This window comes from Homo sapiens, chromosome 18 (assembly GCF_000001405.40).
Source record: "Homo sapiens chromosome 18, GRCh38.p14 Primary Assembly".
Lineage (NCBI taxonomy): Eukaryota > Metazoa > Chordata > Mammalia > Primates > Hominidae > Homo > Homo sapiens.
Window position 1 is genome coordinate 61,397,582 of NC_000018.10, and position 19,627 is coordinate 61,417,208.

The 19,627-nt window shown below is 36.3% G+C and overlaps 1 protein-coding gene and 1 pseudogene across 3 annotated transcripts in view; one reads left to right on the plus strand and one right to left on the minus strand.

Annotated features, from left to right (window-relative positions):
- Positions 1-19,627, plus strand: part of CDH20 (cadherin 20) — a 222,350-nt gene that overhangs the window by 64,152 nt on the left and 138,571 nt on the right. The gene's annotated exons all lie outside the window — the stretch shown is intronic.
- RPL30P14 (ribosomal protein L30 pseudogene 14) lies at positions 7,245-7,694 on the minus strand (annotated as a pseudogene).

Below are 19,627 nucleotides of genomic sequence, written 5' to 3' on the forward strand. Positions count from 1 at the left end.
TTTTTTGTTTCTTTCTTGCTCACCTGTTTATTGTCTGTATTCCCTCTGGACTGTAAATTCCAGGAGAACAGAGACTACCTCTGTCTTGTGGTTAAGAACACTAACTTTGAAGCCAGCCTGCCTGGGTTCTAATCTCAGCTCTGCCACTTACTAGCCGTGTAACCTTAGGCAAGTTACTCAACCTCTGTGACTTAGTTTCCTCATCTGTAAAATGAGGGAAACACACCTCATAGAGTAATTATGAGAATTAAATGAGTCAATGCCTGGCACATAGTAAGTACTATAAAGTGTTTATTAAAAGAAGTATTTAGCACTTAGTATGATGCCTTAATCGTAAGAGATGCAGAAAACGTTTTTGTTGAATGTAGGAATTCATAAAAGAATGAATGAACGCTACAACTCCAAACAAATGTAGTCTCCCAACTGTGATTCACTTGCTCTGCTAGCTAAGTCAGAGTGCAACAAGATCAAGGCTATTTGCTTGAATCCTAACAAGGGCAGCATAACTTATGGCTTTGTACCAACTAACTACATCCCTAGCCTGTGTAGCCATCTAGCAATTGCATTGTGCTGTTTACAGGTTGCAATGAATGAGAGTCTGAACGGGTCACTATTTGTCTGTCACAACTAGTATACGAATCATACATAGTACATGTCTTATTTACTCTAATTTTATAGTTTTATCTGCTTTGTAATTGATAGTTCTTGTTTCTAATCATCCTATAAAAACTATGTAATTTGCCAACAATTCCAGAACCTGAAAAGAGTAGTATCAATTTAATTATGGTCTTCTTAATTTATATACATATATCTATATGTACATATTTACTCAAGTAGCTGGTTATGATTAGGAGATCATAATTAGAAGATTAAATGATAAGCCAAGTATTTAAGGGATAATCTATGGAAGTGTCTGAAAAACCTTTCTGCTGATCAGCATATTGACATCTTATTTTCAATGTGTAAAAACAACAACAAAAAAGGAAAATGTAAGATATTTAAGAAGATATAAAAATGGTTCTTACAGATGAGTTATTATGAATTTAAGATGGTCTCCCCTATCTACAGAGCACAGGCCTTCTTGTGTTATCATTTGTGGGCATTGAGACTCCTGAGTATATACTTTTCTGTTAGGTTTGCTTTTCCTCTGTCCACTCCAGGTCACTCTACAGGAATCAATGGCATTGTCAGCATGGCCCAGTCACAAAGAAGCATGGCCCAGTAAGAAAGAAGATTACGCTAATATTAACAAATAGAAATGAGTTAGAAGGATATATTTACTGTGGGAAGATCTGGCCTATATCAGTATGTTCTGAGTGGCCAGCACAAGTCTGCCAGGGAGGACAGGGTAGGCCCTTTGATCCCACGATGAAGGGAAAATTACTATTTCCCTGGCCCAAACTTATCAGCTTTTGAGGAGCACAGGGTTGTCATGGGTAAATGAGAGTCCCTTCATTTACCTGTTCATACAGTACATTTGAAGTTTAGTCAAGGCATGGAAAATATGAAACTTTTATCAACATGACTAATGGAATGAAGACATAAGTCAGACACATTTTGCAGTGACCAACCTCTCCGATCCTGACTGCATAGTCATTCATTGCTAATTCACATTGGGTTTTCAGTGGGGTTCATAGAACACCAGCAGTTGTCTGTACCTCACAGAGCAGGACGTCTGAGAAGTTTAGTGAATGTTCCTCACAGCAACATGTTCTATATTCCACTATTAATTCCAGAAAGTACTCGAGTAGCCTAACTTCTAATTTAACCTCTTCTTTCTGCTTTCCTTGGGTCTCATTTTCCAATTTTAAAATCCACATAGCTAGAAGGCCACATATGGAAATGATATCTCCCTGTTACACTTGGCTTTGTGTCAATATTATGATTCATTTTATACATTTCTTCTCCAGCCCGAAATCCCATCATGTTTTGTTCAGCTCACTGGATCAAAAATACATCACCCTATCATTTCCCCACTGGAAAACATACTACTGCCATTTTTTTCATGGAAATCAGTCTTTAATATTTGTTCACTGATCTTCACCTCCCCCACCAATGCCTCTCTCCACCCCTGCCTAAAATTACTCATCATTCTAATAAGTTAATATATTGGAATGGAAAAAATTTGCTTTCAGTCTCAGGGATCAACTTATGATCATCTTAAATCAGCCTCTTTTTAATTGATGAGTCTATAACAAATTGCATACTTTGGTTTACTCTGTAAAAAATACAATTACACTAAGGCAAAGCTGGTTATGACTCATGTATAATGAAATGAAAACAGTATCATCATTAAGCACCAAATAAAGCCATTGATTCCGTGTATTATTCTGTCAGTTTTAATTGAATTGTATTTCCCCCTTTCAGTTCTTAATTATGCAGTTCATGCTGAATCTTTATTTTTATGCACAGAATAGGATAATGTTCTTTTCCTCCTTACCTTAGTGTCTAAAAATATAAGCCTATTGAGAACAGAAAAGTCTTTGTTGGTCTTAATTAAAGCAAAACACCTACTTTTATCCTAGGAGCTGAATGTGTTGCTGTACTGTGAGACTGTTACCAAGTGAGGGGACAATAGGGCTGCTTCCTGTTGCATGTCCACCTCCCTGACCTGTAGTCGCAGCCTCTTTCCAAATTCTATCAGAAGAAGAAAACATCACACTATCTGGCAAAGGAGGTCCATGGGGCCTCTCCAGCCTGCTAATGAGCATTAACTCTTGTCTAGACTGTCAGGTCTAGACAGAGCAAGGCAAAGTAGATACTGCTTAACTTGGGGGCAGATGTGATTAGTGAGATAACAGTCAATCTGAAAATTCATTCTTTTCTTCAGTTAACTTGCGAAAGACCTAAAGGCAAAAGCAGGACTCTCTTCTCTGGTAATATGTCACATAACTGAGATTATGTGCAAGTGAAAATGAGCAAAGGGAGATGGAATGTCTATCAAACCTAGATTTAAAGGAAATCCTGCTACCACAGTGTAATTTCTGTAGTTGAAAAAGAGACAAAGGGAACACAACCTCTACCCTCCTCTCGTTCCATAATTGTGTTAGCTGTGTCGAAAGTGCTTCTGCCAGATTCAGGTAAATGCATCACCCTAATACCTGCACAATTTTATTTCTAGGATTCAATTCACAGGAGGCAAATGTTCTTGTGTAAAGATATCAAGTGATAGTGTTAGGAAGTTATTCATCTTGGACCATATAATAAAGGCTATCTTGGAATTCAGAACCAAAGAATGAGCTCTGGTCAGTCTTTGGTGTCCCAATAGTATTCGATATAAACTGAAAGATTATTATCATTGGCTTGAAACCCCAAATGACAAGGGCCTGACTCATAATAAGTATTTAGTGGGAAAGAGGAAGTGGCTGCTATTTAGACTTAACCTTAGAGTTGAGGGATTGTCCTCCTCGGGCTGAGAACATTTGATCTAATGCGTTGAAGGGCTGGCCCTCCCTGGAATATCTCCTACCTCTGGCATATCAAACTATGCTCTCCGTGCAGCTGCATCTCCAGCATCCATGCTAATAGAGGACACTATCTTGGAATGAGAAGAGGCACTAATCATTCTCGTACTTATTTTACCCATGTTCAAACTCATCTGCCAATATTTCCTTGTGCAATGTGCTGCAAAGCATTCTAATAAGCTTATTCCAGTTCCATCTTTTTTAAATTCCCAACCTATCCTTTGAAAAAAGTGAGGAGAGAAAGGAAAATGCCCAAGAAATAAGAAAAGGGATTTAGGATGGGAAGAGGGAACTCATATTTATTGCGTTATGTTACAGGCACTATTGGGTTCTATACATTAGTGACCCGTTTTTGTTGTTGTTGCTGTTGTTTTTATATCAATGATCAGGTGTGTGTGTGTGTGTGTTTACACACATATATTTATGTATAGGATAACAGGGAAACAAGATAAAGTGACTTAGATACTAGACAACCAAGGGTTAAATGTAAATTCTAGGACATGACTCTACATATTTATAATATCCCTGACTTCAGATTCTACAGTAACAGGTAGCTGGTAAGTCTATAAGTAATGTTGATTTTCCATGTTCATTGTTCCTAATGTTGCAGACTAATGCATATGCCATGGTAACATCTATTTCAAATCAATTTCCTACAAATGCCTTTCACAACTATTTTGTTTTTATTAATAAATTAAAACACAGCATACTTGAGCAATGTATTTTTGTTCCGTGCAAATTCACAGAGATCCAAAAAGATTATGAAGGAGATAAAATTTGCATTTACAAGAGACTCTCCTTCAGAAGAGTGAAAGAAATTATTCTTTCACTATTCAAAATAGGAAACCATAAAACAAGGAGATTATAATAAATCCTTGGCAAAAATTCACATGAATACTTCCTGCCAACATTTTAATTAAGGATAATAGGTTGGTTTATCAAATATAATTGAGGGAATATTGACCAAAGGTTGGTTTGTCTAAGGGGCAGGCAAGGGAACATGAGGTTCTAGTCACAGCCTCTCTCACATTTCCCCTTGACTCCCTTTGCAAAGAGACATTTTCCCTCACCTTGACTTCTCAGACCTAGAAACAGATAAATCAGAAGGCGCAGCTGGATCTGACCCCCAGGTTCTGTGGAACTGGAAAGCATTCTGGTGCTGATGGAACTTTTGAAAGTTAGACACTAAAGGTATCCCCATGCCTTTGGGGATCCAGTAGGATTCTCATGCCAGAGGAAGGCTCATTCTTCACCCTGCTGTAACTTGGGCCTCAGCAAATTCTCTGATAAGATTTACTGAAAAACTTCCAAATATAGGACAACATAGATTTCCCCTGCCAGCACAAAGGAATAACTTTCCTGAGATTTAAAAACCATCATATATTCAAGGGGAAAAAAAAAGGAAATTGACTAGCAAAACTACTTCATGAAATACATCCCTTGATTCCCTAATGTCATCCTCTTTATGAACCAGATTTTCTCATGGCCTAAACTACTCCCTGATTGTAAATTAAGCACCATATGAATAACCTGCCTGATGGTATTACAGTGATCTAAGGTTAATGTTTAACTATTAACTGAAAATAGGATTCCAGGTACTATAACCTGAGAAGAGTACCATTAGGGTACCATTTAGAAAATTCTGTTTAAGTCTTATAATAAAGGAGCAACTTAACAGCTAGAGAAATTTGAGCCAATGAAAAAATTGATGTGAAATGAATCTATCCCCTGGGCTGGGGTATTTTATGTTTCAATATTGAAACTTGAACATTTTTTTACACCAGAAAAGTTATTCTTAGTAGTTGGCAGAGTAAATCCATGTTATCGTGCATTCTGAAGCAGTTCAGCTGAATCTAATTAGAACATCTGCAGATTTATGCAGCTTTCTGTATATTAAAGTCCTAACCCTTGTGAAATAAATATTTCTCCTCAATCCTTTATTTTTACCCTTCTCAGGGTTAATCAGACTAATATGGTATAAATTTTAACAACCATTTTTATGATCCCAGGATGAATGGTGCAATACAAGTCTAAAATATCAAGATCTTATAAATAGTGTCAGTATGTACTGGCTTTCAATGCCTTCCTCCTGGCCATCAATTTTGGCTTAGAGAAAGGGAAACAATTATGAACTCAGTCACTTGCTTCTTTGTATTAGTTTTTCAGAGATTTTCAAGGTGATCCATGCATTTCTGGGATGTTGAGGAGAACGTGTTTGGTCTTAACTGTCTCTCGATAGAGAATTCATTGAATCATGTAGGCAATTAAGCTAAAAAGGTCAGTTTGGTTTTACCACTTAGACAAATTACTCAAACTCATGTAGAAAATGAGTGTTTTGCTAGAGTTATCTTTAAAATACTTCTTGGGAAACAAGACTACCATGTTTCTTTGGTAACAAAACACCTAGATGTAGCACTTCATATTAGGACTTTTGTCTTAACCAGCCTTCTATGTTAGATCAGGCTGATAAGTAATTTCTACTTCAGTCATATAATACCTCAAGGTGTTACCAAGTAGTCTTAAAATTAGTTTTATCTCAGGCTGAGAAGCACTGTAGCAAAAAGAGGCCTAATCCTGGAGTCAGAGAGCCCTGTGGAAGCACCAGCTATATCACTGGTTAGAAGTGAACCACTGGGCAATAATCACACTACCTGGAAAATTAGATAACTCATGGGTAAAGAAATACCATTTGAACCAACAATCCCATTACTGGGCATATATCCAAAGGAATATAAATCATTCTATTACAAAGATACAAGCGCACGTATATTCACCGCAGCACTATTCACCATAGCACATTAATGACAGACTGGATAAAGAAAATGTACATATACACCATGGAATACTATGCAGCCATAAAAAGGGATGAGATCATGTCCTTTGCAGGGACATGGATGGAGGTGGAAGTCATTATCCTCTGCAGACTAACGTGGGAACAGAAAACCAAACAACACATGTTCTCACTTATAAGTAGAAGCTGAAGAATGAGAACACATGGACACAGGGAGGGGAAGAACACACTGTCAGAGTGGTAGGGGGCAAGGAGAGCATCAGGATAAATAGCCAATGTATGTGAGGCTTAATACCTATGATGGATTGATAGCAAACCACCATGGCACACCTTTACCTATGTAACAAACCTGCACGTCCTGCACATGTATCCTAGAACTTAAAATAAAATTCAATTGAAAAAATAAAGAAACTACTAACAGAAAATTCTATGATTCCAGAGTGAGGAGTAATGCATGTAATCAGAGAAAAACATGGTTTATTACTTAAAAACAGATAGGCGTATTTTGTCTTTGAATCTTGAATTTTAAATATTTGTTTTGAGAATAAAGGCCACTAACCCACCAAAATATAACAAGGTCTGGTTAAGGAGGAAAACCCCTAGGGAAAGTTTTCAGCCGATTTCTTCAATATCATATTAAAGACTCCCACATATAGAAATCCAGAGTAGATCTGTAGGGAGCAATGAAATTCTACATCGTGATATGAGGCACGATATTGAAAATGCTGCATGAAATCTTGGTTCTGTCGCCCAAGATACAATAATAATCCACGGGTAAAATAAGGATTTACCCAGCAATTTTAAAGATTAATAAAATCATATGTATAACTAGTACATGCTCAATAAATGAGAGCTGAGATACAGAGATGGGACCTTTAAAAATGGAGCATGAAAAAAGAGACCCTTTTCCTTGGCAGTTAAAAAAATGGAACATTTGTTTAATTAAAAAAAAATTGTCAACTTTTTTTTTTTTTTTTTAACAAGCACTGGCAAATTTTATTAAAGGGAAATTTTGCATGGTTTATTTTTCACCAGTCTGTTCTGGCATGCTTCTAATGGTGTCAGAATCACCTGGATCAATGATAGCCAGTGTGCATACTCTGTAGTATTTTCCTCATGCTGCGCCCAGTTCAATATTATTGCCACTGTAGTGATGGACACCAGTTTTGACCAACATTGCATAGTACTCCATTTCTGATTTCTTCAAAGTTGGACAGTTGTTACAGAGAATGACCAATTTTGCTTTGCCTTGTCTGATCATCTTCAGAGTCTGCTTGTACCCCAGCACATGCTTCTCACTTTTTATAACAAGTTAGAGCCTAGAATTGATCAACTCCAGCGACTTTTTTGTCTTCTTTGCAGCCACCATCTTTCTGCCTTAGGTGTGGGATGGCCCCCAACCAGGAGCTGCTGCTAAGATGGCCCGGGAGCGAGAAAGGCCATTGTCAACTCTTAAAAGACTGATATAGGGTTGGGTTTGGTGGCTCATGCCTTTGATCCCAGCACTTTGCAAAGCCAAGTGAAAGATGGCTTGAGGCCAGGAGTCTGAGACCAGCCTGGGCAATATACCAAGACCCCCATCTTTAAAAAATAAAAATAAAAATAAAACCCTAAAAATTAGCTGGGGTAGGCCAAGCTACTCCAGGGGGCTGAGGCAGGAGGATTGCTTCAGCCCAGGAGTTCGAGACTGCAGTGAGTTATGATCACACCACTGCACTCCAGGCTGGGTGACAGAGCAAGACCCCATCTCTAAATAATTAAATAAAATAAATTTTAAAAAACTATTATAAACAAATTCCATCAGGTTCTTCTAGTCAATCAGTGCTTTAAAGCAGTGGTTCTCAAAGTGTGGAGCCTGGATCGATGTCAGCAGTATCATTTGGGAACTTGTTAAAATGCAAATTCTTGGGTCCCAAGGCCTACAGAATCTGAAACTTCTAGGATGAGGCCCAGCAGCCTGTGTTAACAAGCCTTCCAGAGGACTGTGCCACATGCTTAAGGTTGAGAAACACTGCGTTAAGCCTTCCTTCAAATATCAGCATAACTTCAAGGCTTCCACTGTCTCAACGGTCTTGCAGAAGGTCCCTTCTTTGTCTGTTAGGATGTGCAGATTCCTAGTAGATTTGCTGAACAATCTGAGTCTCCACTTCCTCCTTCTTGGCATTCATCTCCTGCTCTTTATTCAGGACTAATTGATGTTCACACTGGCCAATTAGTCAATGCTACAATTCAAATGGCCCCAGCTGTATCCAGAATTAACATGAAAGCTTTCCTAAAATATTTGAGTGGGTTTAAAAAAAAAATCACAGATTTTCCTTTTCAAAACAAGCATTTGGGCCCATTTTTGTTCAAGTATGAAGGTGAATTTTTCATGTATTATTTCCTCAATATAATTATTTTATGTGTTCGTTAAATACAGAGACTGCTAAAAACTTGTTTGTTGAGACTTCCACAAGTTGATAAGTAATAGGATAAAATGTGCATCTCCATTATTTAACTACCCTAACCTGCTTATCAGTCTCATCTCACTCATTTGTTCATTCTACAAATATGCATCAAGCACCTATTATGTGCCAGGCACTGTTCTAGGTATGAAGGCTTCAGCCATAAACAAGACAGATGGGGTGAGACTGGACAGATTGGAGGGGAGTCTCTTCCTGCTACAGCTTGCATTGTAGTGGAGGACAGAACACTATAAATAAATCAACAAATTAATAAGTACAATAATTACAGGTTGTATGAAACACTCTGCAAGATAGAAACAGGATAATGTGATAGAATCCCTGGAAGGGGTGGCTTCCTTAGACAGGGTGGTTGAGAAAGGTGTCTTTAGGGAGATTATATCTGAACTTAGTCCTGGAGATTGAAAGGAGCTACTTAAACGAAGAGGTGGAGGAAAGCGGAGGAATTCAGGCAGAGGATTATACAGCAAGCAACAGTTTTGCACTTTATGAAACATGAAATAAAGCCATAGTAAGTCAGCGGGAAAGAGTGTTGGGGAAACATCATTAAAAACAAAATCTCCTCCCAACACAGAAAACCTCTCTACAGACTAGAAGAGAAAGAAAGTAATCTTATTATTGAAAAAGCATTGAATAAGAATATGATAACTATCACAGGTAATCCATTAAGAGATTCCAAAATTCAAAAGACATCTCATCCTTTTACCATGTGGTACATACTTGCCATCAAGATAAAGAATAACTGCTCCTCAAGTAAGAGGACTTGGCAACACCATTTGTCACACACAGCTCTTCCTAAATTTCCTTGGTAGTTGAGGTGACCATCTGTGTTAACTATTGGCTTTATTCAACAGAAAAATAAAGTTCTCTTTATGATAAGAGACAGTTTTGCAACTTGGAGCGAGGCACCTGCCCTCCCACAGAAATGGGGAAATAGGGGCACTATCTTCCTTGATTCCATTTGAAAAAGATGGCTCCCAGGGCCTTGAGAAAGACATTCCTGGGTCTAAAACTGGCCAGAAGCTTATTTAGCTTTCAAAAAGATTTACATATATTTCCCAGAGACAGAGAAAGAAGTTAACAATTACAAGTTTTCCAAGTAAATGCTCTAAGAATAAGAGGTTGGGGTGGGGGAAGTCCTTCCTTCTATTTTCAACAACAAGAATTAAGCCTCTTAATTTTAAATTGTATTGGCCCTTACAAAAGGCATGAATTAAAGTAACAGGGACCAAATTACGCAGGATCTTAGAAGAGTTTGCCATTTACCCTCAGAGAAATGGAAACCCGCTGAAGGTTTGTAACATGATCAAATTTATATCTTTACAAGGCATTTAGCCCCCGATAGAATGTACTGAGAAGGACACAACGTCACTTTTGTGATAATTCTTGTTAAAAATGCATAACCCAATGCAGTCATAGAAAACAGCAGATGAACCTAAATTGGGGAACATTCTATCAATGAACTGACCAGTACTTTTAACAAATGTCAATGTTATAAAAGGAAGGCTAAAGATCTGTCACAAATTGAAGGACACTAAAGAGACATGACAAGCAAATGTAATGTGGGTCATTGGATTGTATCCTGGACCAGAAACTTTAGTGGAAAAACTGGTGAAAATTGAATAAGGCCTGTAGCTTAGTTAATAGTATTACATCAATGTTAATTTCCTGCTTTCCAAAATTGGTTATATATGTAAGATGTTAAAATTAGGAGAAGCTGGATGAAGAATATATGAGAACTCTCTGCACTATTTTTGTAACTTTTTTATAAAATCAAAATCATTTCAAAATAAAAAATTTAAAAGCGAAAGAGCTTTAAAAGCATTTTAAAATATCATTTATGATACTGAGTTAATAAATTATTAAGGGGGAAAATAGAAGTGGGGAGGGAAGATAGGAGGCTAATGAAAAAAAATGCAGGAAATAAGAGTTTGAAGATGGTGGCAGCAATTATAGAGAAAATTAAGAATCAAGATTCATTTTGGGTTCAGAACTGACAGTACTGGTGTATCTACTGAGTGTGAGAATTGAAGGACAAAGGTAGTTTCTAGAACTTTGCATAAGTAACTGTTGGGATGTGCCATTTTTTCAAAGAGAAGGCACTAAGAAAGACATAAGGTTTTAGGCTGGATGATCTCTGGTTTCAACCTCTCCTCTACAATGTTATATCACAAATCCAGCTCCCTCTGAGAAAGCAGTGAGCGTTGATCAATGTTATAATGAACGATATATGATTTTGACATTATTCTTCATAGAGGTGGCCACAGACACTTCAAATCCCAGTTTAGACCTATGTACAAGGTACAACCATCAAGTAAACTAGTCTAAGACTTGTTTCTTACCAGCATTTAGTTTTTAGATTGATTTTTCTTTTCCTCCTCTCACCCCATTACTTTAGACAGCAAACTAGTCAGCAACAAGTTGTTAATCAGAACCCTGGCTAAACCATTTGGTCCTCTTAATTTAGCCAACTGTGGAAGCCAAAAAACAAAACAAACAAACAAAAAAACCCACCACCTTTTTACTCAAAAAGTCAAATTGCACTATGTGGACTTACAGATTGTCTAATTTTAACTAAACTAAACTTCACAAGTATGGATAAAAGATAATACTAATACAAAAAAAAATGACAGACCAGACCTTTTTAATTCTAGCATCAGCTCCTCATCTGCCACACTACAACTTAAAAGTAAGCACAAATTTAATCAGAAAAAGCAGTAGCATCTGACTCTGTATTTTTAAAAGAATAAATAATTACAACTTACCCCTTCCAGGGAAGGATGACTTTTTACAGAAACTGAAAATGTCTTTACTTTTGAAAAGAAGTCTATGCTATGCCTCCAACCCATTCTGAGCATTTTTGAACTGGTTGCTTAGAAATGTTTTCATTAATACATGATTTTGCCACCATAAACCACGTAAGTCTTCCAGACGGTTCTCACTGTGGAGAAGGGAGGTCCCCACAGTGCTTCTGTGCCCCCACCCCGCATCCTCATCTCCAGTTTTCCAGAGATTTTAAGACCCTGACTTTTAAGGGGACAGGCACCTGTTTCTGTCTTTGCTAGCCTGAGCCTGGGACAGGCTCCTTCAACACGGTCCTGTGGCAGTCCTGGGGAAGGGATGGCACATCTCAGCAGACCCTTCGATGGGGACATTTGGACTCAGAAGTCACACCACTTGGATTCACAAAGTGGCCCAGCCACTTGCCAGCTCTGTGACCTTAGGCAAGTTGTGTATGTCCTTGAGCCCCAGTTTTTCATTAGAAAGTGAGGATGGACATAATGCCTCCACACAGTAGTGAGAGGATCTCATAAGCCAGAGAATATAAAGCTTTTAATACAAAGCTTAATAAAGGTTGGCAACTGTTAAACTAAATTAAAATTGCGCGTGAGGATGCCCCTGTCCTGAGTCCTTAAGTAATGAACTGCAACATAACGTAGTACATTAACTAAACCCTAACTTAGGAGTTGAAGTAACGAATATTAATAGCTGGTCTCAGTCAATCACAGATCACAGTAGCTGAGCTCCAGCCAATCACAGTCAGCCAGTTGATTTGAATTAGGCAAAACACCAACCTGTTGCCTATGACAGTGACAGGGAAGTCACTGTCCCTGTGACTTCCGTTTTCTGACCATAGATGTCTGACCACATTGCAGCCAGGGAATTCTTTGAACCTTTTCTGGTTCTGAGAACCAGGTGCTAGAATCTTCTTTATGATTTTTAAATTGTAAATAAAAGCCAATTCAGATAATGAAAGTAAATGTGTTGTAATTTTGCCTTTTGACACTACTATTGTCCTACTATGTTTCCTAGAGGCAGGGAGCTCCTTAGTTTTTGGTTTCAGAATTGTCCTGTCCTGGGTCAACCACTGTGTTCTCCTTAGTTCAAGCATGAGCCATTTCTAAAACACACAGGTCTCCTAACATGAGCACATTAAACTGAATAGAAAATATTAAAAAATAACAGCAAAACTTAATGACAGTATCAAGAAGAGCTCATCTATCCTAGTAATCAACGTACAATAAAGCTTATGACATACCATTTTTATCTATGAAATTTGAAATTTTAAAAAATACATGAAAAACATATTAAATACATATGTACAAGTATTAGTAAGGTGAAGCGAAATAAGTATTTGCATATGCTTCTAGTGAAACTGTAAATTAGGGCAGCCTTCCCAGAACCCCAAATCAATTTGACCCAACAATTTTGCTTGAGGAAGTAACGCCATTTTCTTCCTTCCAGATAGCAGAACACGTTATAAGGCTATAATAATTAAAAGAGTATATGATTTAAACACAGAACAGAGATATGACCTTTTGATATATTAAGTTGATATTTAAAATCAGTGACAAATGATGGAATGGAAAATAAATGGTTTAAAAACAACTAAATATTATTTGGAAAAAGCATGAAGCTGGATCCCCTCCTTTTACCATCAAGCAAAAACAAATTTCAAATAGATTAAATATCATAACATAATAGCCCTAGAAGGAAACATATGTAAGTATTTTTATAATCTTTGAAAGGAGATGGCCTTTCTCAGCATAGGCATAAGACCTAGAACTCATGAAGAAAATGACTGAATTTGTACTGCAATTAAAAATATGTATAAGGCGGGGCTGAGCGCGGTGGCTCACGCCTGTAATCCCAGCACTTTGGGAGGCTGAGGCGGGCGGATCACAAGGTCAGGAGATCAAGACCATCCTGGTTAACACGGTGAAACCCCATCTCTACTAAAAATACAAAAAATTAGCAGGGCGTGGTGGCGGGAGCCTGTAGTCCCAGCTACTCGGGGGGCTGAGGCAGGAGAATGGCGTGAACCGGAAGGCAGAGCTTGCAGTGAGCCGAGATACGCCACTGCACTCCCGCCTGGGTGACAGAGCAAGACTCTGTCTGAAAAAAAAAAAAAATGTATATGGCAAGAATGGCCATAATAAAAAAATGAAAAAATAATAGATGTTGGCATGGATGTGGTGAAAAGGGAACACTTCTACAATGCTGGTGGGAATGTAAACTAGTACAGCCACTATGGAAAACAGTGTGGAGATTTCTTAAAGAACTAAAAGCAGAACTACCATTTGATCCAGCAATCCCACTACTGGGTATCTACCCAGAAGAAATGAAGTGGTTATATGAAAAAGATACTTGCGCATGCATATTTATAACAGCACAATTCGCAATTGCAAAAACGTGGAACCAACCCAAATGCCCATCAATCAATGAGTGGATAAAGAAACTGCGATGTGATATGTATGTGTATATATGTGTGTGTGTGTGTGTATATATATATATATATATATATATATATATATATATATGTGAGATATGTATCCACACACACACACACACACACACGCTATGGAACACAACTCAGCCATTAAAAAGGAATGAGTTAATGGCATCTGCAGCAACCTGGATGGGATTGGAGACTATTATTCTAAGGGAAGTAATTCAGGAATGGAAAACCAAATATCATATGTGGGAACTACGCTATGACACTGCAAAAGCATAAGAATGATACAATGGACTTTGGGACTTGGGTGGAGAGGGAAGTTGTGGGAAGGGGTAAGGCAAAAAAGACTACAAACTGGGGTCAGTGTATACTGCTCGGGTGATGGGTGCACCAAAATCTCACGAATCACCACTAAAGAACTTACTCATGTAACCAAATACCACTGGTTCCCCCAAAAACCTATGGAAATAAAAAATTTTAAAAATAATTTTAAAAAGTGAAAAAATGAAGAAAACACATTTATGGCAAAAAAAAAGCACTATAAGTAAAATTAAAAGATACATGATGGATTGAAAGAACACATTTGCCAGGCATAGAAAACAAAGAGTTAAAAGTTTCCATAAATCAGTTAAAAAGATATAATTTAATAGAAAAATATATACATAATTCAAAGAGAAAATTCACTGAAATGGAAATACAAATGGACATAAACATTGAAAAGATTACCAGTTTTAAAAAGTATTATGGCAATATAAATTAAGCAACATATTCTGCTTATAAGGTTGGCAAAATTTTGTTATGTTACAGAAAGTGCAGAAAAATGGAAATTCACACTGCTGTTGAGGGTGTAAATTGGTACAACCTTTTAACAACAATTTGGAAATATTCATCAAAATTAAAGGGCCACATATCTTGTTACTCTTCTAGGAAGCTGTATTATATAAATACTCAACATGTACACAGATACATGTCCAAAAAAGATTATAACAGGTTTGTTTATAATAAATAGAAAAACAAACAAAAAAGAATAGTCCAACAACCCATCTGCTGGAGAAGTATGGGTGGAGCAAAAGACACAGTGATTCAGCTGAAAGGGGATGTGGAATCAAAAAAGATTTTAAATAGCAATTAAAAAATAAAAATAGCTCAAGTGTTATAATCAAGCTATTGCTTTAAATAGTTCATCTATAATAAAATACAGCCATTAAAAATGATGCTTTTGAATATTTACTTAAATAGGAAAAGATTCATGGTATACCAATTAGAATGAGGCTATCATAGCATATGTTAGGTATGACCCATATTTGCAACATACATACTCCAAGGAAGGATACACACAAGTATGTGAACAATGGATCTCTCTGGGTCGGGTAGGAAAGAGGTTACAAGGTAGTTTAATTTATACTTTATGTTTGTATTTTCCAATTTCTTCAATAGTCACAATTAACTTTTGTAATTAAGAAAGTGAAAGCTTAACAACAACAAAAAATGAAGTCAGGAGACGGAGACGAATCCCTGAACTAAAGCAGAGTACTTATTTTATCTTTCTCTGCAAACCCCAACTACCTAAAATGAACTGCTTTATGTTTATCTTACACATGCAAATACAAAATGTTTTAATTTTATCTTCAAAGCATCCACTGTACCATCCACATCCACATCTGTTAATCTCTTATTTTGGGGTTTCGGAATTCATATGGTGGGATTTATGAAATCCACATTCTGCTGTCAGTCTTCACACTAGGGGTTTTAGAAAATAGCATGAATGAAATGTGCTAAACCTGGCCTTGGAATGCAATCATTCTACAAAGTATATTTATTTTTTATTTTTTAACCAAAGGATCAATAGACGTTTCAGCTGCTATATAGAAAAATACTCGCTTTCAATATGAAAGCTCAGCAGCAATGGGAAGAAAATATAATGCACTGCAAGAAAAGTTTAAAGTTATAAACTTGTGTGGCCATGCATAAAAACTCCTAAAAACTGTGACCATCCAAGGGTTTCTTTCTGAATGGGTCTTTTATTCCAGTGAGTTGGCACAGTGAAGGATGTGCTGCATTGTTCTGACATCACACCAGGGTGAAAACACATAGTTCTGTTGACATCAATACAATGAACTACAATATATTTTTTATATCCTCTGTAGGTGTTCTGAAAGGAACCTATTGGTGGAAATGTTAAAAAAAAAAAAATTGCAGGGAAATCCCTGCAATGAATGGAGTACTAAAGCATTTCAATTTCCTAGGAAAAACTGGGGCCTACTTAAAAATGTGATGGTAACATGAAGCATACAAATGGAGAAGAATTTTCAAAGGGAACATACAGAACACTTTTCCTGTGTCACAGTTTATTGTGCAAATTCCATATAACTTAATATAATGCAGTATGCATTAAAAAATTAGGTTGTCAAGAAACCTGTTCATAATACACCTCAGTAGGTCAAGAGAAATGTAATTTTGATGTAGACATAATTTGATTTCTCACTCTGCTCTGTTGTTTTCACGCTTTCTGGTCTTAATCAAAATTGTCTTTTATTTGAATTCTTATGAATGAGTCTTCTTGTAGACTGCATGGTCCCTCCATCGTATTTTAGAAACTAAAAAATAATTACCAAATGTCGATGTGGTTGGTACTATAGATAGCAAGAGATGAAATAAAACCAGTGGGAAGCCAGACAAGTAAGGAACAGATGCAAAGTGTGGACTCTAAGGGGTCTTGGATACTGAATATTCAATTATAAGATCTCAGAGTCTTGTTACATGCAGCTTGATTCAGAAACAAGAGAAGCACAAGGGAAGCTACTCAGCAAAACTAATTCATCTCAGCCATGTGAATGTATTCGTCTCCTATGACCCTCACATTGTGCAAGACAGTAGCTCCAAAAGAACTAAAGGAATTAGGGCACGTCATCATTTTCTAGTTTAATTAGATTTTTTATAGATATTAATTGAAAACAGTATAATATAGTGTGCTCAAATTAATATAGCCTGCATTGTATACAAGTGTCAAAATGAGTGATTTGGGATTCTCTATGCAAGCATTTGCTTTCTTACATGAGCCTATCTGTATAGTATAATATCCATATAGTATAGTAATTCTGTCTAAAAATGTGGAGAACACCTAAAATAAAGGCATGAATGGGACAAATCTTCAATGAAAACATTTTATAGAAACCAATTTAAGTTTTAATTTGATTAATGTACATGATTGTCAGAGAAGAGGCGAGAATTTTTTTATGTTTATTAAAATAATTATTAAGAATTTTAAATATTTATAATTGGATAGAATATAAATAACATAGAATTTACTATTTTAATTATTTTCAAGTGTTCAATTTTGTGGCATTAAGTACATTTTTATTGTTGGGCAAACATCACCACCATCCATCTCCAGAACTTCGTATTTCCAAACTGAAATTCCATATCCGTTAAACAATAACTCCCTACAGTAAGAAATTCTAAATGCAGGAAAAATATCAACATGTATACAATGACATCATTTGCAAGTCAAAGTTAAAATAATGAGAAGAGGTTTTGATGTGATGTGTTTCCCCAACTATATATGTAACCTCTTTTGTGGCTTTTTGCTATATTCTAGCATTTTTATTCACTAGTACTATCATTAACTGTATATTTATCATCTAATTAGCTCCCTATTTTCAATTAACCCCCAACATACCAGAAAAAATCATCGTCATTTATCATCTGAGTCCAATGGGTCCTTTTTAAAATATATATTTTAAGTCATTTTACAAATAATTTATGGAACAATAAAGAGATAATGAAAAACTTATTTAACATTTCATAAGAAGTTAAACACAGCACACCTCACTGGGTCAAGTAAATGCTGGAGCACAGGCATTGTAAAGGATGAAACAGCACTGTCACACACTTTGTGTGAGTCCCATCACAAAATATTGGTGGACTAGACTGAATCCTTCCTGATTGAATGACAAACTGAATGAAAATACCATATTTTCTTTTGTGCCCCTAGAAATGTATTGTTCACTCATCTTTTCTTGAGTTGGAGAAAATTCAGGCAGAATATCACCCTCCGAAAACTCATAATCTCAAATTTTGTGTGTATGATTAATTTCAACATCATCACTCAAAAGTAGAATGCTGCTCTCCACCTCTTTGCATGTATGCATTGATTCATCTTAAATTTTTGAACCAGATTTATCTATCTCTTTCCTTTATCATTTTGGGCAGAAAATATAAACTTTGAAATTCTTCACTCTTTTTAATGGAAGCTAAAAGCAGCGGACCACAAAGATGGTGTCTTCCATCTCCTCTTATACTATTCTTAAAAAAAATGATATAATACTTTGGGCAATGTAATTAGAAAGCTGAAGAATTACTAATATATTATTCTTCAGCCTCAAATTTAGGGAATTCCATGATTCTTATGTCTTATTATTTTAGTCTGCTTAGCCTAATTGTTAATAATTGATGAGTAATGATGAAATAATTCCTAAGATGATGTACTAACACAATGTTCCAAGATGTAAAAAAAAAAAATATTAAGATCACTATAAGAACTCATTATGTATCTTGGATTTTCAAAAGAGTTTAATGGGCCTCTATAGTAACTGCAAGATTTAATTTTTTTCTGTTTAAAGTAATAGTAAATTTTCTCTTTGTTCTTTGGAAGGCTTTGAATAAATAATAACTATCAGTCCTTACAAATAGTTAAAACCATTTTTAAAAATTTCAAATGCAAATCAGATCCAATGGGCCTTAATGGCATACCAATGACATGGATTTATTTTAGTGCTAAATTTTATATCACTAACATGGGAAAACCAATAACATTTGCCATTTTGGTTATGATTGTGTCCCTTTATATACTCCACCTAAAGTGACAATGGCTTTAACAGATATATTTCTCACAGAAATGTAGTCCAGAGAGAGACAGTCCAACCTTAGAAATGGCAGCATCATGGCCATTAGGGACAAGTATCCTTCTACTTTTCTGCTCTGTCATTCTCAGGATTGCCTCACTATCCAATTTAGCTGTTGTTGCTCCAGCCATCTCATCTATATGACAGGCAAGAAGGAAAAATGGGCCTAGGGAAGAAAGTGTGCGTGCCCTAGATTAGTCAGTGTCCTGTGAGCATTTTTACCAGGTGTCACCAATGGCATTTCTGCTTATCTCACTGGCCAGGACAAAGACACATGACCACACCTAGGTGCAAGGAAGGCTAGGCCTTACAGCCTTTTAGCTGGTACACTGCCACTACCAATAATGGGATTCGTTAGGAAAGAAGAAGCAAATAATGGATACTGGATGGCAAACAATAGTTTATGCCACAACTACCAAAAACAGAAGATGACTACAAACACATACATGAAAAACAAACTATGATTAAACTATAGATATATACCGTTTATAACTAAAGTTCAAAGTCCAAAATCTTCTCACATTTGGTTTAAAAGGGAAAATATAAAGCACCAGAAAAATATTAAAAATCTTCTCTTTGACCCCAATCAAAAGCACTGAAAGAGAAAATAACTATTTTCCTTTAGTGATTTGATAATTTAGTGATTTAGTATTATTTAATGTCATATTTGTGTAACATGTAAAAATCACTTTCTAAATGACCAGTGGTATGGAGCTTGCATTTGGGGAAAGTCTGGCTTTCACAAAGAAATCATGAAAGGAGATAAGATT